This window comes from Homo sapiens, chromosome 5, assembly GCF_000001405.40.
Source record: "Homo sapiens chromosome 5, GRCh38.p14 Primary Assembly".
NCBI classification, from domain to species: Eukaryota; Metazoa; Chordata; class Mammalia; order Primates; family Hominidae; genus Homo; species Homo sapiens.
In genome coordinates this window covers 122,513,764-122,528,625 of record NC_000005.10, presented here as the reverse complement: position 1 = coordinate 122,528,625, position 14,862 = coordinate 122,513,764, and the positions used below count along the sequence as shown (strand labels likewise).

At 40.3% G+C, this 14,862-nt stretch overlaps 1 annotated feature.

Annotated features, from left to right (window-relative positions):
- Positions 13,247-13,784: an enhancer, noted in NCBI's record as "NANOG-H3K27ac-H3K4me1 hESC enhancer chr5:121850537-121851074 (GRCh37/hg19 assembly coordinates)". NCBI's record gives its function as "activates a minimal SCP1, AML or CMV promoter by ChIP-STARR-seq in naive and primed H9 embryonic stem cells {active_cell/tissue: H9 hESC(naive and primed)}" and the evidence as "EXISTENCE:reporter gene assay evidence [ECO:0000049][PMID:30033119]".

Sequence of the window (14,862 nt, the reverse complement as noted above, 5' to 3'; positions counted from 1 at the left end):
AAGTGGGATTACAGGTGTGAGCCGCTGCACCTGGCCTACAGTGCTATCTTAACATACAACATTTAAGAAGATAATAGCAAAAAAATTGAGAACAACCTAAATACCCAATAAAATTGTAGTGACTATTCTATAATAGTGAAGATCATTGATAATTTCCTTCCTTGTATTGTTCTGGGTAGTCCTCATTTTCTACAACACATACCTACAATATTTGTAATTAATACATAAAATAATTTTGATTTTATAAAAATCAAATCAAACATGTATAATTTGATAGCATACAGTGTTGATGGCATCCAGAAATTAATACTTTTAATAGGAGACAAGTATTATGCTCATAAAATGTAGTAAGTAGTTGGATAGAAGAAACTATGCCTTTTCATTTTCCTCACAGTTTAATTTGATTATATCCAATGGAAAACAGACGATTTTATGTGGAAGGAATGTTATATGGCGACTCTTGCCTATACTCTCTTAAAAGTCTTTACTTTCATATGTGTGTTGTGACATCTAATAGGAATCAAATCTAGACTTGACCAAGCAAATGACTATGGCATGGCAGGATTGTTAACACTCCTAAAAATCCTATTGAAGGTTGCCTAATTGTTCTGGAAAATACTAAGAATCAACTATTATTAGGGAACAAATCTAAGAATAGAAGAGCATATCTAATTTTCTTTTATATTCATGAATTTTTATTTTGGGACCAACTATATGGTTATTACCCCTTTTCATGATGGTCATTATTTATATGATGTAATCAGCTTCAACTCACTCACTCTTATTAAAGTGAGATAAGTATTGCCCTTTATTTGCATAGTATGTGCTGTCTAAACTGATTGTACATAATCATCTTAACCAGCATAAACCTGCTTCGACTATTATTCACAGCACTGCAAGCAACAGGAGCATCAGCATATTTGCATCAGTTTCTTTCACTTCTGAGTCTCACCAGGGCAATGTTATGGGCACCATGGATGCTACAAATGCATTTAGTTTGTATTGCAGATAAGGAACATTGAATTTAGGGAATCTTTCTCTTTTATAGCAAGCAGTAAGCAAGCCTACCCTTTGTCTGGGAGGAGACATTATCTCCTCTCTCAAAGTTGCTGCATAAACAACCCTGAGAAATGGCCTGAATGAAAGAGCAGTGAGGGTTTTGCAGTCTTGGTACAACATGTTGTTTAAAAAAATTGCCCTCAAATATAGTACAGGCAAGAGAAACTATAAAAAATGGAAAAATATTTCATACAAATCTAGATGGATCTTGGACTAAGATTACATCATAAGCTCTCAAATTTCTCACTGTGTTTTAAAGAAACTGGAGATAGAAATGACAGATGATGCATTCTGGGTCTGGTGTGTAAATAAAGTCAACAAAGAATTGCAATTAGTACATACACAGTGTTAATAAATAGCGTTAAATGAAGAAATGGACAAATGCACATGTCTATGTCATAGGTTAAACAATAAGGAATATATTCATAAGTGTTTTTCACTCAGTGCTTTAATCCACTTTTTCAATTAATTGTAGTTTCAAAAATTCTACTTTTCTTCCTTTTCAAGATCTGCTTATCACTAAGTGATAATATTGAGCCTATTGATAGACTTACTAGTGGTATAGAACTAGAATCTTTGTATTTTCCATAGAGTGCTTCAGCAAAGAGTTCCATAGCTGTATGATGTCCAGAGCCACCCACCTCATTATTTAAAGGATTTCCTTTCATAGACCATTTTTCCTTTCTTTCAGATAAAAAACACCTTTTCAAGTTGTTGCAGATGTTAACAAACCCAGCTACCTTAGAAGCTAGTTTCCAGGTTATGAATCGCTCATGGGAAGACTTTTGTTGTCAACATGACAACTTCCAGATTGAAAGTTCACTACAAATTTAGAAGAAAGAAAGTGTCTTGGTAGCTACAGTATGTATCATAATGCAGTTATTTATGGGGTGTTTTCCCAGACTTTTTCATGAAGCACCAGCTGCCTTTGACTAGGCTGCTGCTTTTTCCTCAGACAGTTGATATTGATGTTCACATCTATGCTTGCATGTAGCATGAAGCTTGGAACTGATGAAAGGGGATGTGGATGCCTGATGAAGAGTTCCAAACCACAGCCATCGGTACTAATGCATTTATGAGCACCTCAACTGTGGCAAAGCATACTTTCATTTTATAAGCCTAGAGGTTCTCATAACAGGGCTGTAAGCCCATAAACACAGTGACACATTTACACGGATCAAGTTCAAAGATTTAAAAATGTATCTAATGTACCACATGGATGTGACTTAGAAATAGCTTGCTTTCAATTCTTATTGAAAACAAATTGTATTGAATATGCTGCAACCCAATCCAAGTTTGGCAAACTAATGCTTTGACCTGAATTAATATTTTATTAAGAAATATTAGGAAATCAAAGGACTTTGAGAGAAAAAAATAAATTTGGTCATGAATTTTCCACAATTACAGAGTTCCATAGAACACATGCAAACAAACCCCAGAAAGCCCTAACCAGCACATTTATCTTGTGCTTGTACACCAGTGTTCTGCTTTGTAAACTCCTAGCCTGCTGGGACTCTTCTTTCTGCACCTTTTTTTTCAGGCTCAGTTTCTGGTGCATCCGGATAATTTGATTGACAAAAATGACCTCTTGAGGCCAAAAAAAGTGAGTATTTCCAGATTTAGATTACCATTGAAAAGAAGAAGATTATCAAAGATCTAAATAATGCAACCAATAGCAAAACATCCTAGTAAATCATACTAACCCAGCTAAATTAGATAGCACTGTCCATATACAATTACACTGTTTGGCTCCCATGACAGCCTTTAAATGTGACATGTTATTTGACATGTTTGCAATTAGGGCTTAGAAAAAAATCAATTTTTTTCTATTCCACTTAAAATAAAAAATGTACTGTTCTCCAATGAAATGCACCTTTTTTAAAATTCCAGACAGACAAAAAAGTAATACCAGAATGAATATATCACAGCTGCATTATGAATATAGACATTTAAAGTGCAATTTTCTTAGATTTTATGAAAGGACAGAACCTAGGAGTAATTACCAACATGTTGTATTTACTTTCACATCATTATCCTTATTCACTTTGTCCCCAGACTTTGAATAGGCAGTGAGGTAGGTAGGAACCTGGAGGGCGTGGGCGAGCTTCTGAAGAAGCTCTGTGGGAATTATATCTGTCCCTCTTCACACAGAGGGCAGGCTCCTCTCTCCACCAGCTTCAGACTCACTAGTGGACTAGAAAAAGGCAGTGTTAATCTTTCTGCCTTCTGCTTTGCTTCAACGCTGATTACAAACTGCTCTGAACAATCCATATACAATGGATATGGATAAATACTCCAAGGTAAGATTATTAAATGAATAAAATGCCTCCAACTTATTGCCATTCTTCCTTTCCCATAGATCCTATTGCTTCTTGCACACTTTCTAAAATCTGTAGTAAACATTTGACTTTTTTTCTCTTTCAGGAAGACATTTTGACTTTTACCATACTTTGCCCCATCATTATGTATAAGAGATATATAATAGTAATAATAACAATAATAGTCATGATGATAATAATAATAATAATAAACCAACATTATTTGTGCAGTTTCTATGTGTCAGGTACTGTTCTTAGTGATTTATATTAATTGTCTCAGCTGATCTTTACATGACCCTATAGCTGCCATTGTGAATAGATTAAGGAATCTCAACAATAATTCCCAAGTAAATAATTATAATTCTTGTTAGTTACTTTAATGCAAATAGAGGGTTTATGATATCTAAATAAACTGTGAAGTGAATTTTGGATTAAAAAATCAAGCATTGTGGTAAACAGAATAATGACTGTTCCAAAGAAGTCCTTGTGTTAATCCTCCCAAACTCTCAATATGTTGCCTTACGTGGCAAAAGGGACTTTGCAGATGTGGTTCAGCTAAGAATCTCGAGAAGATTATCCTAGATTATCTGGATGGTCCCAGTGTAATAGCAGGGGTCCTTATAAGAGGGCAGCAGGAGTGTCAGAATAGGAGAGAGATTTGAGTGTACTGTGCTGCTGGCTTTGAATCATGGAAGAAGGGACCACAAGCCAAAATATGCAGGCAACCTCTAGAAACCAGAAAAGGCAAAGGGCAGATTCTTCTCTATAGCTTCTAGAAGGAGCACAGCCCTGCTCACAGCTTGGTTTTAGCCCAGTAAAACCGATTCTGACACTATAATATAATAAATGTGTGCTGCTTTAAGCCACCAAGTATGATGATAGGAAACAAATATAAGCATAAATCCTGAAATAAGTGTTATTATATGGTATGAAAAGGCATGGGGCACAGAGGAAGGGCCTGGAGAAGTCAGAAGAGTCTCTTTAGGGGAGGCCACACTGTGAGAGTTAAACCACGAAGTTAGAGGGAGCACAGTCTACACAAGGCTGCCCTCACTTCTAACTCAAATTGAAAGTTCAGGGGGTCCTCAAACTTTTAGGTTTGATAGTTCTGTAGAAGGTCACAGAACTCATTGAAAGCTGCTACACTCACAGTTACAGTTTATTACAGGGAAAGGACACAGATTGAAATCAGGCAGGGAAAAAATAGCCAAGTACATAGAGCAGAGCCTGGGGAAGTACTGAACACAGAGATTCCATTGTCCTCTCCCTGCTCAGTCATGGACAGCCTCACTTTCTCAGCACTGATGTGTAACAACATCAACGTGTGGCGTGAAGTATTGCCACCTAGGGAGCCTCAACGGAGTTTTCACTGGGGCTCCGTCGCATAGGCATAATTAATTGATTGCCCATATCGTTGATCTCAGTTTCTAAGTCAACTGATACCATGTGTCTCAAAGCCTCCACCCTACCTTATAGTGCTGGTCTTTTGGTCAGCCCCCACTCTAAATATTAGTTGGTGTGGCCAGCCTATACACTAAATTCACAATGTCAGACTATTCTGCATAACCAAAGGCCCCAGGCAAACAAGGATACTACTCCTACCAGGCATGACACACCAGGGTCCCAGAGGGCAAGGATAAATTCCTTATCACACACACATACACAAAGCTGGATTTAAGAGATGAGTGGGATTTTTCCAACTGGGGCAAGTGAAAGGAAGAGCATGGCATCAAAGACAGACAATATTACGAAGCAAAATGTAAACTTTCATAGCATTTCCAAAGAAAAAGCTAGTAGTTGGGTGTAATTTGAATATGAGGTACTGAGTACTGAGGGTTGGGAGTAGTTGGAGATAATTCTGATTTTAAAGACCCTAATGCTATGTTAAGGAGTTCTGTATCAAGAGCAATGGGTGTTTGGAAGATTTTTCAGAAGGGAGTGATTTGGACAAAGAATCCTTTTAAAATGTGAATTGTCATATTCCACTTTATTTTTTATGAGTCCATGTTTTGGTCTATTGAATTTATTTTTTAATAGGGCAATTTGTATTTATAAGGAAGGAGGAAATTCTCTTTTTCTGTAAGAATGCTGACAACAGAGTCACATAATCTGCTCAGACCAGAGCAGGCCAAGTCCCAGACAGAAACTCTGGTAGGGGTGCCCCACCAGGGTTGTGTCCCCCTACTTTTTCACACCCACTGGAAAATGCAGTGTAACTGGTAGATGCCCAGTTTTGGGTAGAAATTGCCAGATTTTTGTACCACCTGGTTGCTCAGTCTTCTTCCAATTCCCACCCAAAGTAGCTTGGCCAGCCACTAATGTCAAACAAATCTATCATTTAAAAGCCATTGCTGGCCGGGTGTGATGGCTGATGCCTGTGATCCCAGTACTTTGGGAGGCCAAAGTGGGCAGATGGCTAGAGCTTAGGACTTTCAGACCAGCCTGAGCAACACCGTGAAACCCCATCTCTACCAAAAATATAAAGAAATTAGCTGGGCGTGGTGGCATGTACCTGTGGTCCAGCTACTCGGGAGGCTGAGTTGGGAGAATCGCTTGAGTATGGGAAGTGGAGGTTGGAGTGATCCGAGATTGTGCCACTGCACTCCAGCCTGGGTGACAGAGTGACATCTTGTCTCAGGGGAAAAAAAGAAAAAGCCATTGCTGCCCAGTAGCAGAGAATTGGTTAAATACTCTATCTTTTTACATTGGCATAATGGTTCAATTAAATTAATTTATTAAAATTATTTTAAAAGGGATTAAAACTTAGGTTATAAAACAATATATCAAATATGAGGCTAGGCACAGTGGCTCACACCTGTAATCCCAACACTTTGGGAGGCTGAGGTGGGCAGATCACTTGAGGTCAGGAGTTTGAGACCAGCCTGACCAATGTGGTGAAACCCCATCTCTACTAAAAATACAAAAAATTAGCCTAGTACGGTGGCACATACCTGTAGTCCCAGCTACTCGGGAGGCTGAGGCAGGAGAATCACTTGAGCCTAGGAGGTGGAGTCTGCAGTGAGCCGAGATCGAGCCACTGCACTCCAGCCTGGGTGACTAGTGAGACTCTGTCTCAAAAAAAAAAAAAAAAAAAAAAAAAAAAAGAAGAATGTGAGCTCATTTTCTTAATATATATATTTGAGTCCAGTTTATACATACATAGCATACAAACACAAACACACACACACACACACAAAGTGAAGGGAGGAAGAGAGCGAGAGAGAAACCGCTAAAACGGTAACAATATTTATCTCTGGATGATGTGATTATAGGAGATTTTTTTTTCTATTGCTGTTAAACAATATTTTCTAAATTTTTTTACAATGAATGAGTGTTATATTTTTGAATTACCCAGTATAAGTTATTATAATTTTTAAAAAGCCACTGTAATAATTCTTGGCCTTTTCTTCCATTCTCATAAGAATTAAATATTTTTCTACATTTTAGATTCAAAGTGTAGTTGGAACTTGCTATAGGAAAAGTTATCACTCCTTACTTGATTCTACTAGAGAGAGTGATCTAAGCAGTTTCCTGGGATTCTTCCTTTTAGAACACTATACATCATTACAGTGACAGCAGGCAAACCTGATAAATGCTGGTGGTCACAATAGAGATGATCTTGCCTTTTTTCTTTTCTATAGAAGGCAGAAGAAGGAAGGAAATGAAGTGTCCTTGTTACTACCGTCTCTCTTCTATTTTTTAACACTTAATCTGTTTTTCATTCTGAGAAACAAAAAGATCACTTTACTATTTCAACACCTTGCCTTTGTCAAGAAAGCTCTTGGATTAAAGAGCTAGATATGGAATCTAAAAGCTTGTAATTGTTTTATTTATTAGGGATGTGGATGGCTAGTTTATAAAATATGAACACATCTACATTTACTTTGAAGACGTGCTGTGGTTTTCTTAGTCCATATAAAACTCTGTCTTTAGTAACATTATAAGAAGGAATTAAATACTCTTGAGAAAATAAGAGAGAAAACAAGATCTTCTTTGGTTTGGATTTTTGGAGTAACTTCCTTGTCACCATAAATCCTGTGGATTTTTTTTCTCATTTTAGGAAGAAGGTTTAAAATTAGAAAAAAATTAGATGGATCCCGAAAACTCGTGAGTCATACATGAATAATGTCTTCATTGGAGAAATCAGTAATAGGAAACTGAAGATCTTTTAAAAATGAGAAATCTCATTTTAAAACGAGATTTCTGTATCCCTGGGAGCGAGGATTATGTTTCCACAAGGGCCCAAGGGAAAGTTCTCAACCTGCCTCCTTCTGATTAGGCAACTCAAATCAAGTTGACAATCATGTATGGTTTCCAAAACCATAACCTCTGAACTTGGCTATAAACTTTTGGACATTTATTCAATTAAACAACATAATGAAAAACTACTGCACACCAGGCACTGAGGTGCTAAGGATACAGGCTGTAAGATGCTCTCTTTAGAGGTGGAGTAGGGGTTAAGAGAGTCCGGTCCATGATTGCTGAGATTCCCTTCAGCTTTAAAGTTCTATATAACATAATATCATCAAAGCAATCAGAATTGGAAGGTAGCCAAAATCAAAGAAAACTAATGGTTAAGCCAAATATGAAGAAAAAGTAGGCAAAGGACAAAGAGATACTATGAAAGCTTCCTGGGAGAGGAAATTACCTAGTTGAGTTCTTGCAGGACAAAGAGAAGATAGACAGAAAAAGGAGAGCAGAGAGAGTTCCATGCAGAAGGGTTTTGCAGTAGTATAAGGGTCCTCAGTGAGTTTGGGGATCTACAAATAGCTCCATATGGTTGGAGAGTAAGTGTGGCTCTGTCAGAGAGTTCAGTGTGAGAATGCAGGTAGAGCAGGAGCTGGTGTAGATGTCTTGCCACAGCAAATTAGGAAATTTGGGGAGCATCGAAGCTTTTTCAGCAGAAAAGATCACTTGATCAGGTTTGAATTTTAGAAAATGACTCTGACAGCAGCTCATGCAATGGGTTAGAGGCTGGAAGTTGGTGGAGTGGGGGAAGCTAGAAACAAGGAGAAAGATGGTGCTGAATTTGATGGCCTGAATTAAGGCAACAGGGATAAAAGGAGGGGATGGTGCTGTGGATTGAATGTGTCCTCAAAAAAGCATGTGTTGGACACTTAATTCCCAATGCAACAGTGTTGAGAGGTGAGGGCTAAAGAGTGGTGATTATGCCATGAGGGTAGAGTGAATGGATTAGTGCCATTATTGCATTATAAAAGGGGGAGTTCCACCCACTTTAACTCTGTCTCTCTCTTTTGCCCTCTCTTGCCCTTTAGCCTTCTGCCATGGGATGATGCATCAAGAAGACCCTTACCAGATGCCAGTCTTGGACTTCCCAGCCTCTGTTACTGTGACAAATAAATTTTTGTTTATTAGAAATTATAGTCTGTGGTATTTTGTTATAGCAGGACAAAACAGGCTAAGACATATGGGTTCCAGATATATTTAGAAGGCAACATTAGAAGAACTGGGTAATAAATTAAGTGAGCTTGGAGGGGTTTTTGGTGTGACTGGGTAGGATAGGATTCTATATTGACTTCTAAGCTTCTGGCTCAAGTGACTGAGGGATAATGGCATTATCTCTAATAATAAAAAATAATAACACCTAAATAATAATGAGCATTATTCACTAAGGCAAAAAATAAGGAGCGGGCATACTAGGGAGGCAGGAAAGGTAACACTTTTTATTTTGAAAGTACTGCATTTCAGAAGTGTGGTTGATTGTATTTTCCAGAGATGGTTCAAATGTTGTTTTGTATTCCACATGCTTTTCTCACAATGTGTCTTTGACATGTCCACCATGAGAGATAGGGCGGTCTACAGTCCTTTCTATTGAGCCTGGGTTGGCCTTTGTGACTGTCTTGAACAATAGAATATGGTGGAATCAATGCTATGTAACCTCCAAGGCAAGAACATAAAGATTCTATGCACTTCTACCTTGTTATTTTGGGATGCTTACTCCAGGACACAGCTACCATATTGTGAGGAAGTCCAAACTAGCCCATGTGGAGAAATCACGTGGAAGGGCCCTGTGCAAGCCTTCCAGCCAATATCCCAGTGGAGGTCCCAGCTAACAGGAACATCATCTCACCAGACATGTGAGAGAAGGTATATGCAGATGAGTTCTAGGTCCAAATTGTCAAATTTGGACATTGAAACTTCTCAGTTGAGTTCCCAGGCATGATGCATTACAGACCAGGCATCTCTGTTGTGTCCTCTTTGAAATCCTGACACACAAATCTGTGAGCATAATAAAATGGTTATTTTACATTGCTAAGCTTTGGGGGATAGTTTGGTGTAAAGCAATAGTAGTTGGGGCAGGATACACATAAGATAGTCATGTGAACATGTCCAGTCTGGATTTGGCTGTCTGAATTTGGGAGTTCACAATAGGGGTCTGGGCTGGAAATGTTAAACTGGGAGTTATCAGCACATGGATGATAACAGAAGCCGTAGATATGTGATATCCCAGGAAATGTCTTAAGTAAGAAGACAAGAAGGGTGGGCCTGGGATCTAGCAGTAAATTTATAGTTAAATAGCATTTACAAGAAAAGAAGCATGCAGAAGAAGGTAAGGACAACACTGGTCAACGTTCAGACAAGAAACTGGAAACAACTTGAAGGATTTCAAGCAGAGATTTAGGTGCTTACAAAATTATTGGAAAGGCTAGGCATCTGCTATCAGCTTTCAGGCTCCCTGCCATAATTGTGGTACAGAGTCAGAGAGGTGCTGACTCTGAGGATACCAGAGGAAACAGATCTACAGAAAACTGGTTCCAAATTCACAGAACCTCCTTAGCATCGAGATGGGGACCAGGAAGAGGGCATGGATGTTGCTGCACAAACTTTTCTCTGTGCAGCCCATGCCTCTGTGCCAAGGCTGGGAGGAGAAGAATAGCTTCCACTTTCAAGTTGAATGAAATGCATCTCATTGCATCCAGAATGCAAATTTTATCCAGAACCCTGGCGCAAGGGAGTATAAGGAAAAGTATTCCAGGCTTCTTTCAGGAGAAAGCATAATAAAGGGGTGAAAATGAATGCCGATTACAAAATCCCAGTCCAATGACTTTCCAAAGAAATGCAGTTGCTTGAGGTGCAGAATAGAGTCCACTTCGAGGCCAAGCCATGAAGTGAAATGGAGGGGTAGAAGGGCAGTGGATTTTGGAGTCCAACAATCTTGATTGCAAATCCTTAATTCAGTCACTTACTTATGGGGCTCACCACCCTTTAAGCTTCTGTTTCCTCAACTACCAACCAGGAATGACAATACAAACATTGCAGCGCTGCTGAGAGAGTTGAAAACAATACGTGTTGGGTGCTAAGCACAGTGATGGAAACATAGAGGCAGGCATAAATGGTGGCTTTCATCCTTTCCAAGGTGGGAAGTGAGGTGTGACTCAATCCGGCAGTGGGATATTCCCTGCCCACGTGGGAGCTTCCATGTGCCTGGCTGGCTGAAAAGCAAGAGTCTCAAATGCATTGGTGGAGCAGAAACTTTCTGAATGGCATTTCCAGACTTTATTCAATAGCCCTTGGCTTAACTCTGCACCTTTAGAGATCTTTAGATAAAAGGTGACTTATTATGTCCTCTTAAGGGAATTAGTTTCAACAAATACTTTGAGGGGTGAACAAAAGTGGGCCAAAACAAGAAAAAGCAGCTAAGAGCATGGTTTATAGCATTTCATTTCAAACTGCAAGTTTTAAAGCTGACTCTACTTACAGCTTGCTCTGACCCTAGTAAGGCTTGCTTAGCTTCGAACATCTTATGAATGCCAGTCTGTCTCCCCTTCCAACTGGACTATTTCCATTGCTAAATTATAGACCAAAAAGATGGAGCAGTTAAAACACAGTGTGTTATATCTTTAAGAATGGTTAACTGAAATACTATTCAGCCTTAAAAAGGAAGGAAATTCTGTCATTTGTGACAACATGGATAAACCTGCAGGACATTATGCTATGTGAGATAAGCCAGGCATAGAAAGATAAATAGCACATGATCTCACCCATATGTAGAAACTGAAACAGTAGAATCTCAAACTTATAGGAGTAGAGAGCGGCATGGTGGTTATCAGAGGCTAGGGGATGGGGTGAATGGGGGTGAATGGGGAAAGGGAAGATGTTGATTAATCAGCACAAAGTTTCAGTTAGACAGGAGAAATAAGTTTTAATGATCTACAGTGCAGAATGATGAATTTAATAAAGAAAAATGCATTGTATATGTCAAAATTTTGAAAAAAGAATGTTTAGTAGAGTATAGTAGAAAGATTGCATCTGGATTAAAATCCAGATTATACTACTTTTGAGCTGGGTCACCATAAGTCAATTCTGAACCTCCCTGACCCTCAGTTTCTTCATTTATATTATGGGGAAAGTGTACTAACTACCTTACAAGATTGTTGTGAAGATGAAACGGAACTAGTAAATGACAATAGTTGCCAATATTACATGTGCCAGCCGCTGTGCTGAGTGCATTTACTTAGTTTAATCCTCAGAAGAATCCTGTGTGGATCCATTATGGCTAATCTGTAGGCAAGGAAACTGAGGTTTAAAGAGGTTAGTAACTTGCCCCCAAATCACATGGATACTAAATGTGCTGCAGAGATCGGATTTGAACTCCTGCTGTTGGAAGGACCTAGCATGAAGTGGTATACAGCAAGTACTCAATAAACGGAATGCCATTTTTTTTTTACTAGTCCAGCCCTCCTCTGCCGCATTCAATACATTTAGTAGACCCTAAACTGATTCACAAAGAGTGACTTGCGAAGCTGTGCAGCTGGGGTTAAAACCTAATCTCCTGACCCTGCATGTAGTGCTTTCTACCTTGCCTTAAACTGTCTTCCCTGTATCAAATCCTTTTCTAGGAAGGCTAACTTGAGCTCAGACAGGCTGGATGCGAATGAGCACATGTGCATGACAACACCGCTCTCTGCTGGCTTCTAAGGAAAGTGAGAGGGGCCATCTGGTTGTTGGCTTATTACTGAAGGTTTATTTACTATTGACTTTTCTATCTCAGCAGCTTTTGATCCTAACCTACCTGCCCCCACTCCCTTTTAAATGGGAACTGTTGTGTCCTTAAGTTTTTTATTTATATTTTACTAAAAAGTGATCCTTGTTCTTTGAAAATGTTGTGACTCTGCCCAGAGGGTGTTGGGCCCAGTGTTATGGGATTTCTCTGAGTCTCCAGGACCCTTCCTCTAAGATTCTAGCATGCTCGTTTCCACCCCTGCTCATCGAGGGTCAATACCTCTGTAAGTACTGTAGCGGATGCCTTTGGGTGTGCTGGTGAGTGAAAATGAGAGTGAAAGGAGCCCAATCATACAGAGGTCATTGCGTTGCATGGTAGAAGCCCCTGTTGTCTCTATGCTGCTGAAGTCATATGGGAGAAGCAATATGAGCAGGCAACATCTGACTCCAAAGTAGGATTTGTGCTTGTGCATACACCAGTTAACTGACAAAGCACACACTCCTTCAGATGGAGTTGGAATCAGTGTCCTCAACTATGTGGCAGTAAAAGTTCAAATTTAAATGCAAGTGCTCAAAGCACAATTTTAGAAAGGATTTTTAAAGCATTAGTTAAATGCTCATGAACAGTTTCAAAAAGAACTCACTGGGGGAGGAGCCAAGATGGCCGAATAGGAACAGCTCCGGTCTACAACTCCCAGCCTGAGCGATGCAGAAGACGGGTGATTTCTGCATTTCCATCTGAGGTACCGGGTTCATCTCACTAGGGAGTGCCAGACAGTGGGCGCAGGTCAGTGGGTGTGTGCACCGTGCGCGAGCCAAAGCAGGGCGAGGCATTGCCTCACTCAGGAATCGCAAGGGGTCAGGGAAGTTCCCTTTCCTAATCAAAGAAAGGGGTGACGGACGGACGGCACCTGGAAAATCGGGTCACTCCCACCCGAACACTGCGCTTTTCTGACGGGCTTAAAAAACGGCGCACCACGAGATTATATCCCGCACCTGGCTCGGAGGGTCCTACCCCACGGAGTCTCACTGATTGCTAGCACAGCAGTCTGAGATCAAACTGCAAGGCTGCAGCGAGGCTGGGGGAGGGGCGCCCACCATTGCCCAGGCTTGCTTAGGTATACAAAGCAGCCGGGAAGCTCGAACTGGGTGGAGCCCACCACAGCTCAAGGAGGCCTGCCTGCCTCTGTAGGCTCCACCTCTGGGGGCAGGGCACAGACAAACAAAAAGACAGCAGTAACCTCTGCAGACTTAAATGTCCCTGTCTGACAGCTTTGAAGAGAGCAGTGGTTCTCCCAGTACGCAGCTGGAGATCTGAGAACGGGCAGACTGCCTCCTCAAGTGGGTCCCTGACCCCTGACCCCCGAGCAGCCTAACTGGGAGGCACCCTCCAGCAGGGGCACAGACACCTCACACTGCAGGGTACTTCAAAAGACCTGCAGCTGAGGGTCCTGTCTGTTAGAAGGAAAACTAACAAACAGAAAGGACATCCACACCAAAAACCCATCTGTACATCACCAACATCAAAGACCAAAAGTAGATAAAACCACAAAGATGGGGAAAAAACAGAACAGAAAAACTGGAAACTCTAAAAATCAGAGCGCCTCTCCTCCTCCAAAGGAACGCAGCTCCTCACCAGCAAGGGAACAAAGCTGGATGGAGAATGACTTTGACGAGGTGAGAGAAGAAGGCTTCAGACGATCAAATTACTCTGAGCTACGGGAGGACATTCAAACCAAAGGCAAAGAAGTTGAAAACTTTGAAAAAAATTTAGAAGAATGTATAACTAGAATAACCAATACAGAGAAGTGCTTAAAGGAGCTGATGGAGCTGAAAACCAAGGCTCGAGAACTACGTGAAGAATGCAGAAGCCTCAGGAGCCGATGCGATAAACTGGAAGAAAGGGTATCAGCAATGGAAGATGAAATGAATGAAATGAAGCAAGAAGGAAAGTATAGAGAAAAAAGAATAAAAAGAAATGAGCAAAACCTCCAAGAAATATGGGACTATGTGAAAAGACCAAATCTACATCTGATTGGTGTACCTGAAAGTGATGGGGAGAATGGAACCAAGTTGGAAAACACTCTGCAGGATATTATCCAGGAGAACATCCCCAATCTAGCAAGGCAGGCCAACGTTCAGATTCAGGAAATACAGAGAATGCCACAAAGATACTCCTCGAGAAGAGCAACTCCAAGACACATAATTGTCAGATTCATCAAAGTTGAAATGAAGGAAAAGATGTTAAGGGCAGCCAGAGAGAAAGGTCGGGTTACCCTCAAAGGGAAGCCCATCAGACTAACAGCGGCAGAAACCCTACAAGCCAGAAGAGAGTGGGGGCCAATATTCAACATTCTTAAAGAAAAGAATTTTCAACCCAGAATTTCATATCCAGACAAACTAAGCTTCATAAGTGAAGGAGAAATAAAATACTTTACAGACAAGCAAATGCTGAGAGATTTTTTCACCACCAGGCCTGCCCTAAAAGAGCTCCTGAAGGAAGCGCTAAACATGGAAAGGA